Source organism: Homo sapiens, chromosome 13, assembly GCF_000001405.40.
Source record: "Homo sapiens chromosome 13, GRCh38.p14 Primary Assembly".
In the NCBI taxonomy this organism is placed as follows: domain Eukaryota; kingdom Metazoa; phylum Chordata; class Mammalia; order Primates; family Hominidae; genus Homo; species Homo sapiens.
The window spans coordinates 25,300,771-25,323,574 of NC_000013.11; the positions used below are offsets into that span (position 1 = coordinate 25,300,771).

General features: G+C 38.7%; 1 protein-coding gene across 9 annotated transcripts in view, besides 3 other annotated features; it reads left to right on the forward strand.

Moving 5' to 3' along the window:
- Positions 511-750: an enhancer, noted in NCBI's record as "active region_7485". NCBI's record gives its function as "activates an Ori minimal core promoter by ATAC-STARR-seq in GM12878 lymphoblastoid cells {active_cell/tissue: GM12878}" and the evidence as "EXISTENCE:reporter gene assay evidence [ECO:0000049][PMID:35858748]".
- NUP58 (nucleoporin 58) overlaps positions 855-22,804 on the forward strand; it is a 48,176-nt gene continuing 26,226 nt past the window's right edge. For 3 of the 9 annotated variants that reach the window (NM_001411001.1, NM_014089.4, NM_001411002.1), the window contains exons 1-9: positions 855-1,110; positions 7,036-7,178; positions 8,477-8,512; positions 12,113-12,262; positions 12,844-12,981; positions 14,587-14,697; positions 18,556-18,580; positions 19,760-19,825; positions 20,149-20,323. In NM_001411001.1, coding sequence (NP_001397930.1) covers positions 1,004-1,110; positions 7,036-7,178; positions 8,477-8,512; positions 12,113-12,262; positions 12,844-12,981; positions 14,587-14,697; positions 18,556-18,580; positions 19,760-19,825; positions 20,149-20,323 — 951 coding nt within the window. In that variant the 5' untranslated portion in view covers positions 855-1,003. Of the gene's footprint in view, positions 2,239-2,331; positions 2,386-6,833; positions 6,871-7,035; positions 7,179-8,476; positions 8,513-12,112; positions 12,263-12,843; positions 12,982-14,586; positions 14,698-18,555; positions 18,581-19,759; positions 19,826-20,148; positions 20,324-22,804 lie in introns of all 9 variants that reach the window. The other 6 variants (NM_001008564.2, XM_047430804.1, XM_047430805.1 and 3 more) reach the window with 5 other exon arrangements.
- Positions 911-990: an enhancer, noted in NCBI's record as "active region_7486". NCBI's record gives its function as "activates an Ori minimal core promoter by ATAC-STARR-seq in GM12878 lymphoblastoid cells {active_cell/tissue: GM12878}" and the evidence as "EXISTENCE:reporter gene assay evidence [ECO:0000049][PMID:35858748]".
- Positions 1,101-1,150: an enhancer, noted in NCBI's record as "active region_7487". NCBI's record gives its function as "activates an Ori minimal core promoter by ATAC-STARR-seq in GM12878 lymphoblastoid cells {active_cell/tissue: GM12878}" and the evidence as "EXISTENCE:reporter gene assay evidence [ECO:0000049][PMID:35858748]".

Genomic DNA, 22,804 nt, shown 5'->3' on the forward strand with positions numbered 1-22,804 from the left:
ATGTAAGTTACACCTCACATTTCGCCTTCTTTCGTACATGTTCCTGTGCGTTTCCTAATCCTTCCACTTTGTAGTTCCTCCAGCACCGGTTGTGTCCGAGGGCCCTTCTGGCGGAGCCACACTCGCTCGGCCCAAGGTCCCGCCCTCCAGCATCAGGATGCACGGACAGTATTTGTGGACTTGACCGCATCCCAGGAAATCCAGCGGGCCTGGCCACTTCTGGGCGCCAGGACCACAGCCGGCCACCCCACGGACGCCTGGGACGCTCTTCTGGGCCCCCTTCGGGGCTGGGCGTCGGGCTCGCAACAACTGCGACCAACTGGCTCCGCGAGGCCTGGGGCGCAGGGGTGGGGCTCACGTCGTGGGACGGTTGCATGGATTATTTTCGATTGATTTCCGAACCTTCAGGAAGCAGACACGCTCCCCTTCCTTCTTAGGGATGGGGCGGCAGCCAACGAAAGCCCGAAGCCGCCTCCTTTTCTGAGTGGGGAGCTTAGAGATGCTCAGGAGGGACCTCCCCGATTCTGCGATTCTGAGCATCAATTTTGGCAGGAGGCTAGATAGAAGTAGCAATTGACATTCATCACCCTAAAGTGCGGATTATGTCAGTACAGATGCTACGATAGAAGAACTAAAAAATGACAGAAATGGTTTTACTGTTTTTAAACTCTGGGAGCCTACTCCTTTAAGAGATTAGGCAGTACGCCTATTCTCGCCTGGTCCCAGCGTACCTTGCGCGGCTCGCCGTCCCCCACTCACGTACCAGGGCTCATTGCGTGACGGTTACACTTCCGGCGGGCTACGTGCGCGCGGCGAGCGCCGGGCGTACTTTTGCGTGGTTGCTCCACCCCCTCAGCCTTGCCTTCGCCGCCGTTGGGGCTGGAAGTTCCCGCCAGGTCCGTGCCGGGCGAGAGAGATGCTGCCCGGCCCGCCTCGGCTTTGAGGCGAGAGAAGTGTCCCAGACCCATTTCGCCTTGCTGACGGCGTCGAGCCCTGGCCAGACATGTCCACAGGGTTCTCCTTCGGGTCCGGGACTCTGGGCTCCACCACCGTGGCCGCCGGCGGGACCAGCACAGGCGGCGTTTTCTCCTTCGGAACGGGAGCGTCTAGGTAACCGCACTTTCTCGCCTTCCTGGGCCGGATTCACCCCCACCCCCACCCCCGCAAAGCTCCCTTGGTGTCCCCATCCTGTCTCTTCCCTCTGGCTTCCTTCCCAGTGGGGCTGGAGAGAAGCACTTAATCTAGCCGCCCGGCGTCGTAGGCCTCTCGCCGCGGTACCCGGGCCCAGCGCGGCCTGGTGAAGTGGAGGGCGGGATGGGTTCTGTGCTGTGAGGTTTCCAGAATCCACGTATAGTTCAGGCATTATTTGGACCTAGTGGGGTCTTGACTGCGTGGAAGGGCCTTGGGGTCTACCCCGGAGCTTTAGCGATGTGTCAGTCTTAGGCATAGAATGAACATTGAATGAATGAATGAAATTATAGCATACTGTGGAGTTTTATGATAGATAATTCCGATTTCATTGCAGCATTTGCGGTTTTGGATATGACGGTGTTTTAATAACTTTGTGGTTTTTAACCAGCTTTTCAAGCTTTTGTGCCACATGGGACCTTATCTGTTTTTGTTAAAAAAAACAAAAACACTTTTTTACAGTGTTTATTAGTGGTAATTTTCTGCAGTATGTGCAGATTAGTATATCTGATGCGAGAATGTTGTGTTGTAATAACTCAATTTGTCTTTTACTTAAATTACAAAACGTAGGTAGCATGTTCCTTGTTTTTGTGCAACCCATTAGTTCAGGTGGCGACAAAAACATAACTATCCAGAAAGAAACAAAGTGGTGAGACATTTTAATGAGAGATTTAAGCTTTAGAACTCAATTTTTTTTAAGATAAAGGTGGAGGGGTTCATAAAGTTAAGGAGTGTGCACACTGTCAACAAGATACTTCCTGAAGCTTAAAAGATGTGGCTGTAGATTTAAAAGGCAAATACTTAAGCATGACCTGCAGTTTAAAAAGGGAGGGAGGAGGAACCACGGACTACACAGTCAATTCAGAAATTTGAATTTTCATCCATACCTCCGTTATTCTTACTCTACTCGCTCAACAACAGGTTCTGATAATGTTACTTCTGCCATTTCTGTTTGTCTTTATTTCCAGTTCCACAACCCTGCTTAGGCTATTGTCATTCGTGGAACAAATATTTATTGGACAGATTCCCATGTGCAAGGCTCTGTTTTAGGTATTAAGAGTCTTGCTCTCTTGATCCTTACATTCTTATGAAAATAATTTTGATTCTTGTCAGATTTTTAACCAGCTGTCTTTCTTGTTTTAGATGAAAACTACTCCAATCAACTTCTTCAATCTGTTCTGCCACATTTTAGCCAGAGTAATTGAAAAACAAAATTCCCATTGCTCTCTCTTTAATCATTACCCGCCATCGTTAGAATGAAGTTTAAAAAAGAAAAAAAAACTTACCATAGTCTGCAAGGTCCACTTCTGCTGGAACCTCTGGGGACTCATCTTGAGCGGGACTCATCTTGAGCCCATCTTTTTATTTTAGCTATGCAGACCCACTGTTAAAAACAAACACACAACTACCACCCTAAATAACTGAAATGAAGTTTCAGAGAAAGATACCCTTACTTCATGGGATGCACTTTGATATTTTCTATTTCTTTTTTTTTTTAATGTTGCTTATGACTTGATGAATTAATTTTTATATTTCTCTCATGGTCCTGATCTTAGAAAGCCTGTCCTAGCAACATGGCCTTTTCTCTTTTCAAGTGGGCTTTGCCAGCCCCTTCCTTGCAAATATCAAATGGTCTCTTCCCCAGAGAGGCCTTTTCTGACCTGTCAGTCTAGGGGAGATTTCCATTCTCCTAGTACTCTTAGAGTGCTGATCACAATTGTAATCAGTTTGTTATATTTATTGTTAACTTGTTTGTTGTCAGATCTCAGCACTAGAATAATTAATACCTATGTCTCTCACTGACTAGAAACTGCCTGAGGGCAAGGTCTGAGTCTTAATTTCCCACCTCATTGTCAGTCCCAAGGACAGTGCCTGGCATAGAAAAAGGGCTTTAATAACAATTTGAATGACTGAGCAAATGAGTTATTAGTAATAAGCTATAAAAAATTACCCAAGTTTTAGAGAGGCTTGGATAAATTAATGAAAGAGGAGACTGTCCGACATAAATTTGTTAGAGTGCTGGTTGGGAGGCCTGACAGCCCCTAGTGCCACCTAGTGATTTGATGTCTTGAGGTTGGTCATTTTAGGGGAGTTCTCACATCTGGAAAAGGAGTATAATATATTACCTGAGTTGATGAGTGAGATGAAGTATTTAAATATTTAGCATCAAGTCTGGCACTTGCTAAGTGCTCAGTAAATCTTAGCTATTATGTTAGCTACCAAGTCTGCATTAGGGCAAGCTGGGCAAGTTAAAATAACATTCCAGATGTGATTGAGTCAAGTTGGCTTTTCTACAGTACATCCTATCAAGTCCTTGGCAGATAACATTGGTTTGAGGCAATAATTGGTCAAGTTTAGGGTAGCTTTTGCTTTTCTTGAATTTAGTAAATTTCACTGCCACCAAAATTTCTCTCTTGCTTTTGTGGTAGAGAAAAATTTCATTTTGATGTGTTTCTTTGGCAGTATTTTCAACTTTCATTATGTAATACTTCATAATGTCTTCAGTTATGTTGTCAAGATTATATATATATATATATATATATATATATATATATATATGTATTTTTTTTTTTTTTTAAGACAGTCTCACTCTTGTTACCCAGCCTGGAGTGCAATGGCGTGATCTTGGCTCATTGCAACCTCCACCTTACGGGTTCAAGCAATTCTCCTGCCTCAGCCTCCCAAATAGCTGGGATTACAGGCACGCCACCACACCCGGCTAAATTTTTTATTTTTATTTTTGGTATTTTTAGTAGAGATGGGGTTTCACCATGTTGGCCAGGCTGGTCTCAAACTCCTGACTTCAGGTGATCCATCCACCTTGGCATCCCAAGGTGCTGGGATTACAGGCGTGAGCCACCACACCCAGCCGGCAGTAATGTTTTAGTATCCCCCAAATACTCATTTACCCTACTCCACATTATACACACAACAGTGTCAAAATAACAATACGATCAGACTACTACCAGCTAAGCTAAATGTTTTGGCATATATGCCCCTTTTATGGTTGTACTACCTATGTTGTCTGGATATAGCCATTACATACTATATTCTTTTGCTTGTAGCGCTCACTTAGGTTTCTGTGTGTGTGATCTCACTTAGTTTTGATTGTAGCAATATGTTGTTAAAAATACCTTTTAAATTAAGACTAAATGTTTAAAGATCTGTGGGGTTTTTTTTTTTTTTTTTTTTTTTTTTTTTTTGAGACAGGGCCTTGCCCTGTCTCCCAGGCTGGAATGCAGTGGCGCAATCTCAGCCCGCTACAACCTCCACCTCCTGGGCTAAAGTGATCTTTCCACCTCAGCTTCCTGAGTAGCTGGGATTACATTCAGGTGTGCATTGGCACGCCTGGCTAATTTTTGTTTTTTGGAAGTTTTTTGTTGTTGTTTTTTCGGTAGAGAGAGTTTCACCATGTGGCCCAGGCTGGGCTCAAGCTTCTGGGCTCAAGCAGTCTGCCTACCTCAACCTCCCAAAGTGCTGGGATTACAGGTGTGAGCCACCCGGCCTGGTCAAGATCTGTGTTTTAATTGTTAGCGAGAGCTTACCGCCCTGCTTTGTCTCCTGCCTCGCCTTCATATGCCCAAGGTGCACACAAACACATTTTAAAAATCAGTACTTCTCCTTTTACCTACTCAGTATGGATGGCACATCTCAAGTTCTACCCTTAATAAGCTCCTCCACCTCCATTCCCCTCACAGTGATTAGCTCTTTGCCTCAAACTTCTGCAGTATCTCTTTGCCATCGTTTGGTACTTGATTATAATCTTACTTATAGTAATTCTAAACTTACTGAAGGTGTGTACATTTCTACTGCTTGAATTATCTCCTGCTTGAGTATTTCTTTTCCTCCTTGTCTCCCAGTGTTTGCAAAAATTTGAGTGGCTTCTTAAGCTGATTATGAAATTGAAGACACCCGGACCCAAGTAACTTGGAGAACTCTTCTGGCTTGGAGTACAGTTATTTGTGTTGTTTATCCCCCTGGTAAACGGCATGTTCCTTGACTAGGGGACATCTTTCTGCTCCCTTGCTATTCCTGGCATAACGCCTTGTACATAATATGTTTAGTTAAATTTATAAGTATCCCTAATGATAACAGTCATAACAACATTTATTGAAGTTAATTCATCCTGTGCTCTGAACCCTTATATTTAAAAAAAAATTCTGCTGGCCGGGTGCGGTGGCTCACGCCTGTAATCCCAGCACTTTGGGAGGCCGAGGCAGGTGGATCACGAGGTCAGGAGATTGAGACCATCCTGGCTAACATGGTGAAACCCTGTCTCTAGTAAAAATACAAAAAATTAGCTGGGTGTGGTGGCAGGCACCTATAGTCTGAGCTACTCCGGAGGCTGAGGTAGGAGAATGGGGTGAACCCGGGAGCCGGAGCTTGCGGAGTGCCACTGCACTCCAGCCTGGGCAACAGAGTGAGACTCCGTCTCAAAAAAAAAAAAAAAAAAAAAATCTGCTAAGTGGGTACTGTTAATTCCTGTTTTGCAGATGAGGAAATAGAGGCTCAGAAAGGTTAAGTAATGGCACACAAGTACCAGAACATGGGGGGATTGGTACTGGAACCCAGCCACACTACTGCTGCCAGGGCTTTTGAGACTTTAAAAATGACATTGGGTTCTCCCATGGTGATTATTCTTTATGGAAGGGCAGCAAAGGAAATAATAAAGATAAATATGTAGGATAAAGAGAATTTGCCATTATGCTGTATAGTCTCCCTTAAATCTCCTACATAATTTTGGAAGTGTCAACTTGTCAAAATTTGCTTATTTTCACAGTTTGTCTTCCCACCTTTTCATAGCAAATCTGAACCCCTGAGTCTTGATAAGAGTAGTTGAAAAGTTGTGAAGTTTGTTCACTTTCACTTGTTTTTATCAGCTGTTCTTTTTTTAAGCTTTGCACTGTGCTCTGAAGAGTTTCTGTTAATGAATACATGATCCTGAGACAGGGTGATTTTGCTTTGCGTTTAACTTTTGCCAGGAAATGTCCCCACTAGTTTTTCTATGCTTTTTTTGGTGGTAAAATACCTAAGTCTATACTCTCCCCAACACCACATTGCCCCATGAATGTGGTAATGTAGCAATGGAAAGCTAGTGAAGATAATTTAAAATAACTTTTCTATGACCATTTAAAAATATGCTAGGTTTCAAACATTGGTGAAAGCAGAATAATTGTGATCCCTACTTATGATTACCTTGAGATCTGGAATCCTTATTGCTGTAGACTGCTTTTCTTGAAATCTGGTATTGTATTTTTTTTTTTTTTTTTTTTTGAGAGGGAGTCTCGCTCTGTCACTCAAACTGGAGTGCAGTGACACTATCTCAGCTGACTGCGACCTGCCTCCCGGGTTCAAGCAATTCTCCTGCCTCAGCCTCCTGAGTAGCTGGAATTACAGGCGTGTGCCACCACCACACCTGGCTAATTTTTGTATTTTTGGAAGAGACGAGGTTTCACCCTGTTGGTCAGGCTGGTCTCGAACTCCTGACCTTGTGATCCACCTGCCTCGGCCTCCCAAAGTGCTGGAATTACAGGCATGAGCCACCACACCCAGCCTGAAATCTGGTATTGTATTTTTTAAGACTACTTTTACATGTGGATTTATTTTTTTTTAAGACTACTTTTACATGTGGATTTATTTTTAAGGAAGAACAGAAACATATTTGAACTTGATGGGTTAAAGGTAAATTTATTTTTCTTTTTGGGTCCTATGACAATGTATTAGATATGTTATGTGAATGAAATTATCTTGAAGAGTTAATTTTTATTTTTCTTAAGTAAATATTGGCTCTAGTAGACCTCCTTTTGTGCATGTGATTTTTGTTTTGTTTTTGTTTCTTTAAATAAGCAACCCTTCTGTGGGGCTCAATTTTGGAAATCTTGGAAGTACTTCAACTCCAGCAACTACATCTGCTCCTTCAAGTGGTTTTGGAACCGGGCTCTTTGGATCTAAACCTGCCACTGGGTTCACTCTAGGAGGAACAAATACAGGTGAGGAGGATCTGATCACATTGTCAGAGAGTAGGCTTGGGATATTCTTTCCTAAATTGTGTCCTGTATCTCTCTTTACAAGGATCATCACTGGTAGTAGACCTTAAAAAATGGTAAATGCTAAGATGAAAAGAAATGCAAGGAATTGGAATTAAGGGCTAGTGATAGGCCCAATCATTGACTGTCATCTACTCTGATATAACGAAGGAAAACATACAAATATTAATTTAAATTTTTGGATTATATAATGTAGTGTTTTTCCTTAGTGGAGATTGTGGTTTAAGCCAGCTTTATCAATTTGGAACATTAACATACGTGAGATAATCAGCACCCTTACTGTAACATAATTTCTATTTTTTTTCTTTTTTTAGATACACAGTCTTGCTCTGTTGTCTAGGCTGGAGTGCAGTGGCATGATCATGGCTCACTGTAGCCTTGCAGCCTCTCGGGCCCAAGTGATCCTCCCACCTCAGCCTCCTGAGTAGATGGGACCACACGTGTGCACCACCACGCCTGGCTAATTTTTTTTTTTTTTTTTTTACTTTTTTACTTTTTGTAGAGAAGAGGTCTCCTCCTGGTCTTAAATTCCTGAGGTCAAGTGATCCTCCTGCTTTGGCCTCTCAGAGTGCTGGGATTATAGGCCTGAGTTACCATGCCTGGTCTATAATTTACGTTCCTAAGAGATGTTTTACATTTTTGTATTATTAAAACAAAGTGGGAAAAGGGCAATAGGTAAAGGACTTGAAGGTTTCAAAACAATAGAAAGTTTTTGTTTTTAGTACAGCTGGAAAAATAATGTTTCACTGGAGCTGACCATTTAAAAAGTTTGCTTCTTTATTTACCCCTTATTTTCTACCCTTAGAGCCTCTTGGTCATTCTTACTACTTTTTGCGTTGATCTTCCAGCTTTGAGTGCAGCACATTTCACAGCCACATCTAGAAAATGGAAGAACTACAGGAATAAATATGAGCAGATTAGTCAGTGAGCTGCTTGAGACAGCTCAGTATAGCATTTTGTTTGGAGTTGCTTTTTTTGGTCTTGCTTAATTTTGTTATAAGCAATAGTTATTTGCATTTTATAAATTTTATTCCTTAATCAAATTATGTATGGCTTGTAATATGAAAACCAGTGCTATGGGAAAAATGCGTGATTAGTGGCAGATACTATGATATGTATTGTTCTAATTAGAAGTGTTGTCACTCCCTGAGGGTGATTTTAAGTCTTTCCCTTATGACAGGTAAACCTAAAGAATGTCATCTTCATTGATGATTAAATTTTATTTCTCTTTTTGTCCCCAGGAATAGCAACAACTATAACTACAGGATTAACTCTGGGTAAGAATTTTTGAGGAAAGATCCCAGCTCTGTGGTCTTCTAATAATTTTAATAAATTGAGTGATCTTTCTACTCTTCTCTCTTCTAATATTTCACAGAGCTGGAGTATAGAAAAAAGTGTGTATCACAGATGGTGACTTATCGGAGAACCTTTCAGTATTTGAGTAGTGAAAAAAAGGAATGACTTCGTAGAGTACTTTTATAATTCAGAAAAGTATTTTAAATGCAGAAATTGTTTTTAATGTGGAAGTTTATTTCATATTACTTTTTTAGTCATTTGACTCCAGTTAGTGGAAAAAACACCAAACTTTAAGCCAGAAATTTTGGAATTAAGCCTCTAAAATACTTGTGAGGCCTTAGGTAATGTTTGGGGCTTTTAGTTATCTATAAAATTGAGGGTATTGAACTAATATCCAAAGACATAATACTTTCTGTAGTGTTAACGCTAAAGGGAATGTGAATAACTAGGGTTTCAGCCAGCTTTCAATCTGGATGGCAGTAAACAATGTGAAAGGAAAGGAAAAGGAAATGAAAGAACATTCAGAAGCTCTTAAATTGAATTTTAAGTTAAAGGAAAGGAAAAGGAAATGAAAGAACATTCAGAAGCTCTTAAATTGAGTTTTAAGTTAAGGATTGGCAGACTTTCTTCATTTGGATGCTACACCTGTTATTAACAGAAAACAACACATCTGTTTATCAGCAAAGTTTTGGACTGGATCAGCTGCAAACACAAGCAAGTGAATCTTCTTGTTTTCTTTTTTGCTTTTTTTTCCCCTATCAGACAGGTTCTTCCTCTGTTGCCCAGGCTGGAGTGCAGTGGCACCATCACAGCTCACTGCAACCTCAAACTCTTGGGCTCAAGCGATCTTCTCTGGGGTTCCCAAGTAGCTAGGACTACAGGCACATACCACAACCCTTGGCTAATTTTTTTTTTTTTTTTTTTTTTTTTTTTTTAGAGACGGAATTTTGCTCTTGTTGCCCAGGCTGGAGTGCAATGGTGCAATCTTGGCTCACCGCAACTTCCGCCTCCTGGGTTCAAGTGATTCTCTTGCCTCAGCTTCCTGAGTAGCTGGGATTACAGGCATGTGCCACCACGCCTGGCTAATTTTGTATTTTTAGTAGAGATGGGGTTTCTCCATGTTGGTCAGGCTGGTCTCGAACTCCCAACCTCAGGTGATCCACCCGCCTTGGCCTTCCGAAGTGCTGGGATTACAGGCGTGAGCCACTGTGCCTGGCCTTTTTTTTTTTTTTTTTTTTTTTGGTAGAGACAAGGTCTCAGTATGTTGCCTAGGCTGGTCATGGACTCCTAGCCTCAAGCCACGTGCCCTCTTTGGCCTCCCAAAGTGCTGGGATTACAGGCTTGAGCCACACCAAGCCTGAGTCTTGTTTTCTGAGGTTGTAACCCCATACGTGATTTCAAAGCACTGCACTCTGGCAGGAACTTCTAGTTGTGATCAGGGCAATCCAGAAGCATAGTTTCTGGCTTCTTTTCTCTCAGTGATTTCAGGTTAAGTCATGCAGGTCATTCATACATTTCTTTATTTAATATTGTTTGAGCAGTTACTACTTCCTAACCATGCAGCCTTGTGTCTACATAATGCCTTGAACATTGAATATTGTGGCACTGCTGGTGAGGATGGTCCTTGATGATGACATTGGGAACTGCTAAGGGTTGGAGCAAGACAGTCAGTCTGTTGTGAGGTGAAAGGGATAGGCAGGTATATTAACATGTTCTTGTATAATCCGATAAATGTCCTAAAAGATGTAGAGGCACCATGAAAGGCAGAGGAAGAAAACAGTATGGTTTACTTTATGGGCAGGAAGCACTTCAGAGAGAGGAGTGGCAAGTGCAAAGGCCCAGTCATAAAAGCGTTCTGGGAAATATGAAGTATTTTGGTTTTGGAGCTTAGAAATCAGAGGTGGAAATGGTGGGCAGAGTTGAGAATTGAGGAGCAGGTTGGGACCAGATAGGAAAGGGAGGTATATGTCGTGCCTTTAGACTCTATTTTAAAGACAATCTAGAGCTAATAGGAACCTTAAATTGGGCAGAATCACCAGGATATTTGTGGGGGTTTTTTGTTTGTGTTTTCTTTTTGTTTTTGTTTTTTATGAGACGGAGTTTTGGTCTTGTTGCACAGGCTGGAGTGCAATGGCGTGATCTCAGCTCACCACAACCTCTGCCTCCCAGGTTCAAACAATTCTCCTGTCTCAGCCTCCCGAGTAGCTGGGATTACAGGCATGCGCCACCACGCCCAGCTAATTTTGTATTTTTAGTAGAAACGGGGTTTCACCATGTTGGCCAGGCTGGTCTCGAACTCCTGACCTAAGGTGATCTGCCCACTTTGGCTTCCCAAAGTGCTGGGATTACAGACGTGAGCCACGGCACCTGTCTTTTTTTTTTTTTTTTTTTTTAAGGTAACCAAGATAATTTTAAGAATAGATTAGAGGTTAGAAGAGACTGATACCAGAGAAATAAATGCTGTTGTAGTAGTTCTTAAGAGAGATATGGCCTAAGCTAAGGTTTTTAAGGATGCTTGTAGTACAGGATATTTCTGAAGTAGGATCGACAGGATTTGTAACTAATGGAGTACAGGAGAAGGAAAGGATGTCAAGGATGACTGGTTTCTGGCTTAAGCAATTGAACTGAGCAAGGTTGGAGATATAGCAAAAAATGTTTGTGGTGAGATATGTAGGAGGCCAAAGGGACATCAAGATAGAACTAGACAATGAGGACTTAGGTAAATGTCAGTTTAGACTTAATCACCTGTAGGAGAAATGATGAAAGTGGGTGTGTCATTGGGGAAGTAAGGAGGTAGGAATGGAACTCTAGGAAGTGTCAGTTAAGACATGAACAGAGGAAAGAGAGCTACAGAAAAAAAGGACTGAAAAGGAATAGGGAGACAGCTGGGGGCTGACAGAGACACAAGGGCCAGAAGAAAGGAATAGAGAATGGTTATTGATAGAGTATTAGAGAGGAGGGACCATTTTTCTGCTGAGAGGGAAAGGAGGAGGATAAATGCTGCATTAGAGGTAAATCTAGGAGTAGAATAAAAATTGATATGTTACATCGATTGGATTTTCTTTTCTGTTTTTTTATTTTTTGAGACAGAGTCTCACTCTTGTCTCCCAGGCTGGAGTGCAGTGGCACGATTTCAGCTCACTGCAACCTCCCCCTCCCAGGTTCAAGTGACTCTCGTACCTCAGCCTCCCGAGTAGCTGGGGTTACAAGTGTGCACCACCACATTGAGCTAATTTTTGTATTTTAGCTAGAGGCAGGGTTTCACCGTGTTGGCCAGGCTGGTCTTGAACTCCTGACCTCAAGCAATCTGCCCATCTTGGCCTCCCAAAGTTTTGGGATCACAGGCGTGAGCCACTGTACCTGGCCATTCTTTTGTTTTTCTTAAAGAGCCATCTTTTTTGTGTTCACCATGGTTTAGTCTCAACTTTTACATATTTTCTCTCACAGATACACCCTTCTTCTATTGGCAAAAGGTAGTATCATGAACTTTTAAGGATCCTTATTGAAACCAGTATAATAGAACACTTACAGGTAAAGTAGGATTTTTGTTTGTTTGTTTATTCATTTATTTATTTAAATAGGAACGCCAGCCACTACATCTGCAGCTACAACAGGCTTCAGTTTAGGATTCAATAAACCTGCAGCATCTGCCACACCATTTGCTCTACCTATTACCTCTACCTCAGCTAGCGGTCTGACTCTTTCGTCTGCTCTGACATCAACTCCAGCAGGTGAGGCAGAATGAAAAACCGTTGCATTTAATGGTTAAATTTCAATTTTATCTGGTTAGAGAACATAGATAGTCACCTTACTACAGAAATTATTGATTTATAAAGAAGAAAATTCAGCTTTGAGCATTGAAGCAGGAGAGGCTGTCTTGATGTCCCTATTTAGAGAGCAAAGCAGGGGAGAGGGCTAGAGAGGTAAAATGTAAAGCTGTTAATATTGACTTTGTTTTGAAGGAGGCATTTAGTGACAGGGGAAGACAAAGACTTGGCATAAACCTTGCCTGGCTTATGATTCATTTAATATGAAGGTGAAGTTGGTGGCCTGGGTTGAAGACAATATTGCTATCTAGAATCAGTTACCTGGTACCATTCTAATACTCCTCAAAGCCCTTATTTCTGTCGCAGATTTTTGCTTTGAAGCTGCTATTTCTCTTTATTCTTAAGTATGTAATTTTTAGCAAGTAGTTCTTCCAAAGAGCCAATTTTATCATGGATGTCAGTTTTTAAAAACATCGTATTTGTATTTTTCTATGGTGCTGTTAAATAAGTTGCCTTTTGAAAGCTTACTATCTCTCTTTTTATAGCATCCACAGGATTTACTCTAAATAATTTGGGTGGGACAACAGCCACAACTACAACTGCATCAACAGGCCTCTCTTTAGGGGGAGCCTTAGCTGGTTTGGGAGGTTCACTTTTCCAGAGTACAAACACAGGAACATCAGGTAATTGATGGTATTTATTCTCCAGAATAGTAAATATTTATATTTAAATGTACTTATTTTTATTTTAGTACTTTGAGCAGGTCACTTTTTAATCTGCATATTTTCCTTTAAATATGAAAACTAAATTATAAAATGATGGTTTTCATACATAATTGGATGTATTAACCGTATTTTATTTATTTATTTATTTATTTTGAGATGGAGTCTTGCTCTGTCACCCAGGCTGGAGTGCAGTGGCGTGATCTTGGTTCACTGTAACCTCCACCTCCAGGGTTCAAGAGAGATTCTCCTGCCTCAGCCTCCTGAGTAGCTGGGATTACAGGTGTGTGCCAGCACACCTGGCTTATTTTTGTATTTTTAGTAGAGATGAGGGGGTTCACCATGTTGGCCAAGCTGGTCTCAAACTTCTGACCTCAAGTGATCCGGCTGCCTTGGCCTCCCAAAGTGCTGAGATTACAGGCGTAAGCCACCGCACCCAGCCTATTAGCCATATTTTAGAAATACATTTTCCTCTTTCTCAATATTGACTAACCAGATAAGGAAACAAAGAAGAGCCTGTTTAAGGAGTCAGTAAACTGATCTAGAGATAACATCTCTTCTAAAAAGAACAAAAATTGTATTAGCTCAGTAATGCATGGTCTTATAAAAGTATAGATTTATTAGGCTGGACACGGTGGCTCACACCTGTAATCCCAGCACTTTGGGAGGCCAAGGCAGGTGGGTCATCTGAGGTCAGGAGTTCGAGACCAGCCTGACCAACATGGTGAAACCGCATCTCTACTAAAAATACAAAATTAGCTGGGCATGGTGATGCATGCCTGTAATCCAAGCTGTTTGGGAGGCTGAGGCAGGACAATCACTTGAACCTGGGAGGCAGAGGTTGCAGTGAGCCGAGATCATGCCATTGCACTCCAGCCTGGGCAACAAGAGCGAAACTCCATCTCAAAAACAATAATAACAATAAAAAAGAAATACAGATTTATCAACACAAGATGCTTGAAATTTTGCGCTTGACTCACAAGTGTACGTTAATGACTTATGATTAACCGTAGTCTGGTCCTTTTTATTCCTTTTGTCAGTGAGGGAAGATGTAAATAAGCAAATGAATTCTAATACTTTTTTTTAAGTTTTGTGAAACGAACTTGGGAGTATGAAATTATATTCAATACATGTTATATTCAAATGTTATAAATTCACACTAGATTATCTTAAAAGTATGTAGTTCCAAAGTGTGTTTGTAAGACAAGATGTATTCACCTGAAAATACACCAACTGAAACTGCTTTTGTAGAGAGGGTTTAAAAGCCCTCTGTAACAAAACCCCTTTATAACAAGTGAAGATTGAGTGCCTACATACTGAATTGATATATGTTCTGGCCCTCGTAATAATGAAAAATCGCATCATCCAAACTGCATATGCCATCGAATTCAAGAAAGGTTATCAGTCTTTGGCCAAAACATCTCCAGGCTTGTTTCTTGTTGTTTGCCTAAATCAAATATGAAGAAAATCTAGGATCCAACTTTAAAAGCATTAGAGTCCTTTGATCAGTAAGGGGAAATTGTTGTAGTCTTTTGATGGAATTTATAAGTTATGTTTTATTTATAGGACTTGGACAGAATGCTTTAGGGTTGACTTTGGGAACTACAGCAGCTACTTCAACTGCAGGCAATGAAGGCCTTGGTGGTATAGATTTCAGTAGCTCCTCAGATAAAAAGAGTAAGTAATGCTGTTGTAACTTTATGTTTTAACAGTTCTGTTGAGGGAATGTCTAGGTTGCTCAAAATTCCTTTGTGTGGAAGATTAGCAGTTATATATTTAGTAGTAACAGTTAGCTATCTTAATGTGTATACGAATATGTATTTTTTAATAGGGATCATGATACATATGCAGTATTGTTTTGTAGTCTGTTCTTATCTAACATCAGAAGCATTTGTCTGTCAGTAACTCTTTTTAAATATTTTAATGCTGCTTAATATCAGTTTTATGGATGGATAAGTTAGTCAACCATTGTTCTCTTGTTAGATGTTTATTTCCAGATGTTTTACTTTGGGAAGTAAAACACTGGGCATTTATCTAAAAAGGCAACATAATATAGTAGTTTAAGAGTGTCTGCTCTGGAGTGGAATTGCCCGGGTTCAGATCCTGGCTCAACTGCTTATAAGCTCTCTGACCTTATTGAAGTTACTTATATTATGTGCTTTGGTTTTTCCTTATCTGTTAAATGGTTTGAGGGTTACTATTTGTAAAACCCTAGCAGAGCCAGACATGTAGGTGTCTCCTTTTATTATCAATGCTTGTTTATATTTTTGGTTATTTCTTAGGGAAAATACCTGGAAATTGGATCATTGGCTTAAAGAGAGGGATATTTTGGAGACTCTTAGTGTATAGTTTGTGAAATCGCTTTCCCAGAAAGATTTTACCAGTTTACCCCCTAACCAGTATGAAAATACCTTTCTTGCTGTGCCCTTGCCACGTTGAATCTTGGTTTTAAAAATTTGCTAATCCAAATTCATTTTGAAAATGTTTTCATTGTTTTTTGTGTTACTTTGTTTTGCACCATCTCTTCTGCTTCTGATGAAAGCATGTTTCACTAGAATATATACCATATATACTAGGGTATATATATACATATTGAACTTCTCTGAAGAAAGATAAATGGATGAAGCTGTGAAATAGTATCTGTGTATCTATATGACTTTTTTTTTAAAAAACTGGACACAGGTTTTATTATAAGGAGATACTATTCTAGGGTGAATTACTATTTTAAAGTTGGTAAAACCTTTTTAAACTTTTACAAAGTTTAGATTTCTCTTTCAGTGAAAATTGACAAATTTCTAAACAAAGTTTGTTTTTACTTAGTTTTCTCTGTAGCAACTCCATAATTAGGAAAGCAGCCTTAGCAGCTTATTTGTTTACTCAAGTGGAATAGCTTGGTACCACTTCTATTACTTTTATTTTAAGCATGAGAGTACTTCTCTATTATAATTGTTTTTAGGCTCAAAGAGCAGGCTAAGGCAGAAGAGTAAGATAAATGTAAGAAATTAATCTCCCCTCCTCTGCCCCTCCCCACATCTTCCTGCTTTCATAGTGTACCTAAGATAGAGTTGAGCAAGGAGAATATATACAATAAATGAAATAAATGTCTTAGATATGACATTAAATTTTATAAATATTTATGTACACACAAACATGTATATAAATAACTTGGGTGTGTTTCTACTATGGATCTCTGATTACTACATCCCAGTTCCCTTTTATCTATTGCTTATATCAAGGGATTCTTTTTTTTTAATCCAAATGATTTCTGTGTTTCTAGTAGCTGTATCAGTTAGCTTGGGCCCTGCAGTACCAGTGTGGGATTTAACCAGATAGAGAGTAGCAATAAACAGCATTCAGTGAAGAGGGGACAGCGTCAAGTGAGACTAGAGATGAGAAGGACCTTGACCCTTTTGAGGAAATGATAGAAGGCCAGATTAGCCATAGAGCAGAAAGATGAGGTTCCAGAAGTCATGGAGTCCTTATTTGCCATGTTGAGTTTTGTCATTATATTAATACCTCAGGCAATTTGGGTCTATTAAAGGGATTTGATGAGATTTGTATTTTAAGATTAAGAGCATTCTGACAGCCATATGGAAAATAGCATTCAGGAAGGCAAGAATTGTCATGGAGAACTGTTAGGAAGCTTTTGTAGAGCTCCACGTGTATTACTGAGGCAAAGCTAGGTAGATTAATTGGGGGTCCATGGTAATCAGGGATCCATGGTAGAAACAGGCTCAAGTTTTTTTTATATACATGTTTGTGTGTATGTAAGTATTTACAAAATATAATAAAATGTCATATCAAAGAAATAATATGCTAGTCAATTTAAAAGTTGGTGAATTATTTGGAGAAACATAAAATGAAATCCTTATTTTTATTTCCATGTCTCATAAAATCTAGGACGTCTATAGAAGATAGGTGGCAATTTTAGAGATACTAAATATGAAAGAAAAAAATCTTAATAAAATACAAAACATGGAAACATAAATTACAGTTGGATGAAAGAGGTAAAAAAGTAAAACCCCATGTGCAGAGGTAAAAGGTAAATGAGGAAAGTAAAATGCTTGATTTTTTTTTTTTTTTTTTTTTGGGATACAGTGACTTGCTGTGTCATGCAGGTTGGAATGCAGTGGTGTGATCTTACCTCACTGCAACCTCCACCTCCCTGGCTCAAGTGATTGTCCTACGTTAACCTCCTAAGTAGCTGGGACCACAAGTACGCAGCACCACGCCTAGCTAATTTTTAAAAAATTTTTTGGCCAGGCGCAGTGGCTCACGCCTGTAATCCCAGCACTTTGGGAGGCCGGGGCAGGTGGGTCATGAGGTCAGGAGATCAAGACCAGCCTGGCCAAGATGGTAAAACCCCGTCTCTACTAAAAATGCAAAAGCTAGCCGGGCACAGTGGCAGGCACCTGTAATCCCAGCTACTCGGGAAGCTGAGGCAGGAGAATTGCTTGAACCTGGGCAGCAGAGGTTGCAGTGAGCTGAGATCACGCCACTGCACTCCAGCCTGGGCACTAGAGTGAGACTCCGTCTCAGAAATAAAAAAAAAATTTGTAGCCACAGGGTTTTGCCCTGTTGCCCAGGCTGGTCTCCAATTCCTGGGTTCAAGCAGTCTGCCCAAAATGCTTGATTTTTAGGTGCTTATTTTTTCACATTTTAACATCTCTGAAATTGAGATACATCTTACAAGAGTCTAATATTAGAAATACATATTAAATTATGTAAATGAGACAAATAATATACTTAATGTTGAAATAGCTCTTAGAAATATATAAGAAAAATACCGTAAGAAAAGTGTGCAAATCACAAGTAAGCAGTTCATGAAAGAAGAAATATACTTGTCTCATGAGCATTTGAAGAAAATGGTTTTCTTCACCAAATATAAACTAAGAATTATTATGAAGTGGCATTTTTCACCTACATAACTGGCAAGGTTTTTTATAAAATATGTCCGTTGTTGTGAGGGTGTGATAAGGTATTCATGGCAGATGGGAAGATAAATTGTGATAGTTGTTTTAAGGGATTGTCAGATTGGAGAAGTACAGGTAATCTGACAGTATTCTGTACTGATAGGGCCTTAAAAAGTGTCAGGTAAAGTTATCAGGAGTTAAACTGGTAGGCAACAACATAAATTTTCCATACAGGATATTTTTCACGGAAGATGGTTGAGAAAGGGAAATTCTTGCCCTTGAAAGTATATGTACATCTGCCATATATCTGCTTATGTGTACAGATGTCTTCATAAAATGCTTTGCTTCTGAGTTCATGACGAGGGTTGAGAAAGGGAAATTCTTGCCCTTGAAAGTATATGTACATCTGCCATATATCTGCTTATGTGTACAGATGTCTTCATAAAATGCTTTGCTTCTGAGTTCATGATGAGTCATGACATCACATGATGTTTATGAGGCAAGCAAAGAAATGCTTAACAGTTTATATTTATACTTTAATTTGTGTTAATTTAAAGCTTGTATTTGGAGTATGTTGTTCAATTACCAATTTTTTTTACGTGAAGCTTCTTGAATTTTCTAGGTGATAAAACGGGAACAAGACCAGAGTAAGTTTACAAATTTACCCTTAAGGCATTTTAATTGAAGAGTTTAACTTATTAAATTGTAGGCAGATGGTATAATTGAAAGTAAATATCATATACATTTAGGAGAAAAAACTTTTTTGTAATGGTATTCGTTAAAAGTAAAATAATAGACGTATGTTCTGGTAAGATAATGAAAGGTCAAATCTTTAGTTTTTAGTCATTAAGAAAATTTAAAACTATTTCTGGAAAGGTGTTTGGTATTTCTCTAATATAAATAAATACAAATATGTGTGTTTATTTCTTTAGTCTGTTAAATATTGAACAACTCATGGAACTTTACTTTTGGAGCATTTAAAAAATATATGAATTATTGTGCCAGTCTCGTTTTATGTCCTGGTGTTTTCAGTGAAGAGAATAGCCTCCATATACATCATATATATGTTTGAAGATGGTCATTCTTCTTATTACCAATTATATTTTCTCACATGATTTGTACTATATTAAATAAAGCATTCATAAATAAATGACAAATTCACTCCTTACAAACATCCTGTGTATATTTTAGCTTACTATTTAAATGAAGAAGATTAGAGAAACTAAGATCTGCATAAGGGTTATGAAATCTAACTCATGATTCCATTGCAGCATGCCAGATGTCACTTGTTCTTGTTCTCATTAAATATTTATTATTCCTGTAAGCTCTGCCTAGGTCTTATTTTTTCATTCTAATGCATGTTGAAGAACTAACTGAAGTTATTTTTCAAAAGTATTTTGAGCATCTCGTTGTGAGAAGTTTTGTAGACTTTCTTTAATGAATACATTAATATTTTGGAATGGAATAAATTGTCAGTCAGAATCTTTAAGCCAGAGGGAACTTAGTTTAACATCTTACCCAATTTGCAGTATTCTCTGATTTTTTTGTTAGACATTTAGTCATATGCTTTTAAGTATGTTTTTAATAGATGCCAATCTTCTTAGATAAGAAATCTTCATGTCAGATGAATTGTTAAAATTATTTTATAGATCCTATTTACAATAAATTTATGTTTTTTATAAAGAGCTTTGAAATCATCCAGAGAAGCCATACGTGCTTTTTTGCTATATTTTCTTGTGTCTTAATACTCTAATACTCTATTAAAACTCAGCTGTCAACTTTTTAAAATCTCAATGACCTTAATACATGTTTTGCATTTTTCTTAGGGATAGTAAAGCTCTGAAGGATGAAAATCTACCTCCTGTCATCTGCCAGGATGTTGAAAATCTCCAGTAAGTGTCAAATATAATTAGATAAATAACACTTGAAGAATTCTAGAATACTTCTTAAGGGGAGCATCTCTTCCTCCTAAAATCGCATCCTAGAGGAGCATCTCTTAACTAGGGTTAAAATGTTAGTGCTTTTAGAAATCAGAAAAAAAGCAGAACAACAGGAATTAAAATTGTATAACTTCCATTCTGTAAAAAAGTGTGAACTATAGATGAATTTTTAGTTTTGTATTTTAAAACACTTGGACTGTTTTAAGTATATATATATTTTGTGTAGGAAACCAAAGATACATTTTTTAAAACTCAGTTTTAAATATATTTTTTAGGAAATTTGTGAAGGAGCAGAAACAAGTTCAAGAAGAAATTAGTAGAATGTCTTCAAAAGCAATGCTTAAGGTACAAGAAGATATTAAAGCTCTGAAGCAGCTCCTGTCGTTGGCTGCCAATGGAATACAGAGAAACACTCTCAACATTGACAAATTGAAAATAGAAACTGCTCAGGTATACCAACTTATGGCCATTTTACCGTAGGGTTTTTTTGTTTTGTTTTTTCCAAAATGGAAATAAGGTGTTTTGTTTTGTTTGTTTTTAATTATGAAATTTGATACATGCATACCGGTAGAAAACCAGATAACTCATATACTTTAATAATGAGTTTTTATTAAGCGTTTTCTGTATACAAGACAGTATCCTAAGCAATTTATATCTGTTAAAAGCATTAAGTATTTCTGAAAAGACCCAACAAGGTAGGAATTATTATCCCCATTATATAAATAAGAAAAAAAGCACAGAGCTTTGTTAGTAAGTTGAAGGGCCTGGATTCAGACCCTGGTAATCCAACTCCAGAGTTTATGCTGTTAACTAACTAGGTTTCGTAAGTGTGGTTGCTGGCTAAATTGGCCTATTATATAAGAGGAAACATAGCTAGTCAGAAAATAATGTTTTTTAACTGTCGGTTTTTAAATAAAAATTATATCATGCTGTGTGGATATTAAATTTGATGACTTGCAAGTCGTGGTTAAATCTTAGTTTAAAAATAGTAGGCCGGCCCTAGTGGCCCAATCCTATAATCCCAGCACTTTTGGAAGCCAGGGCAGGTAAATCACTTGATGTCAGGAGTTCGAGACCAGTCTGACCAACATGCTGAAATCCCGTCTCTACTAAAAATACAATAATTAGCCAGGCGTGGTGGTGCATGCCTATAATCCCAGCTATTCCGGAGGCTGAGGCAGGAGAATCGCTTGAACCTGGGAGGCGGAGGTTGCAGTGAGCCAAGATTGCACCATTGTACTCCAGCCTGGGCAACAAGAGCAAAACTCCGTCTCAAAAAAATACAAATAAAAATAAATAGTAATGTGGCTAATGTTGTCTGTCACTAATGTCTACTTGTTTTTCCTCCTTATGGTGTAATATACAATACATATTAAATATATGTCGTTCTTTTCTACCTCAGTGGGAAAGGATGACGATAGGTGATTTATTTGTGTTGTAGTTACCGTAATTACAGAATATACTTGATCTCATCATAGCAGTCTAGAAATCTTTCCGTGAAGTTGTCCCTGATCTGTTAATGAACTTCATGTGAGATACGCCTTTTTGCTGTGGATTTATCAGAGGGCTGTGATCTTCACAAACGAAGTGGTAGTATTTTAAGTAAAATTTTTAAAGGTGCTTTTGGGTCTTTAAGTCCACTATTGGAGAATATCTTGTAATCTTTTTAATAATGATGTGTTACTAAAAGAGCTACTCTAAACTGTAATGGCTAAAGGAATTTCAAAGACTTTATTGTCTGTCCTCAGACTTCCTGGTCTCTTAACACATTTATTTGGTTAAATATGAATGTAATACAGGTTGAGCATCCCTAATCCAAAATCTGAAATGTTGCAAAATCCAAAACTTTTTGAGTGCTAACATGATGCCACAGGTGGAAAATTCCACACCTGAACTCATGGGATAGGTTACAGTTAAAACTTCATTTCATGTACAAAATTATTAAAATTGTATACAGTTACTTTCAGGCTATGTGTATAAGAAACACAAATGAATTTTGTGTTTAAATTTGGGTTCTATCCCCTATTCCCAAGGTGCCTGATTTTATGTATGCAGATATTCCAGAATCAGAAAAATTCTGAAATCCAAAACACTTCTGGTCCCAAGCTTTTTGAATATGGGATACTCAACCTGTATTGCCCCATGTTTCCTTTCCACTTACTCTTCCTAATCATCACCTATGTCCTTTCTAGGGAATAGAAAGAGTTAATTATGTTTTTATACTGGAGAATGTTTAGACTGTGATTAAACATCACATGAAATTATGTGAAATATTTGAAATTATATATAAGTTATTTAGAAAACATAATTAGAGCAAAATAATGGAGGAGGCAAACTCGAAAGAAAGAAGTGAATGCTGTAATGGGACCCATTTTAACTCGAAAACTGAATGATTGCATTCACCGCTGTTTGTGGAGTAGCTGTCATATAATGGGCACATTAATAGTCTTTTAGAGATAAAAAGACAACTCCAAAGGTACTAAAAGTCTAGTAGGGTGAATGAAATAATAAAAGATTGAGAAGAGCATAAAGGTGGCAAAGGAATAAGAGGTTGGGAGTCAAAGTTTCCTTAAGGAAGAATCATCTGAGCTGAATTTCAGGAATTTTATAGTTAATGCATGCTGGGCTTAATACCTAGGCGATGAGTTGATAGGTGCAGCAGACCACCATGGCACACGTTTACCTATGTAACAAACCTGCACATCTACCCTGGAACTTAAAAAATAAAATTAAATTAAAAAAAAAAAGATTTTTATTTCATGCTCACCAGGTCAAAGGGGAAGAAGAAAAAGAGAAAAAAAAATAAACATTTTTAAAGAAATTTGATCTAAGATTACTCTAATGTCTAGTAGCTAGGAACTAATACTCTACTAAGAGTCTAGTGAATTACCAATTGAAAAAAATGTTCTGAATCCTCTATAAAGTATCAAT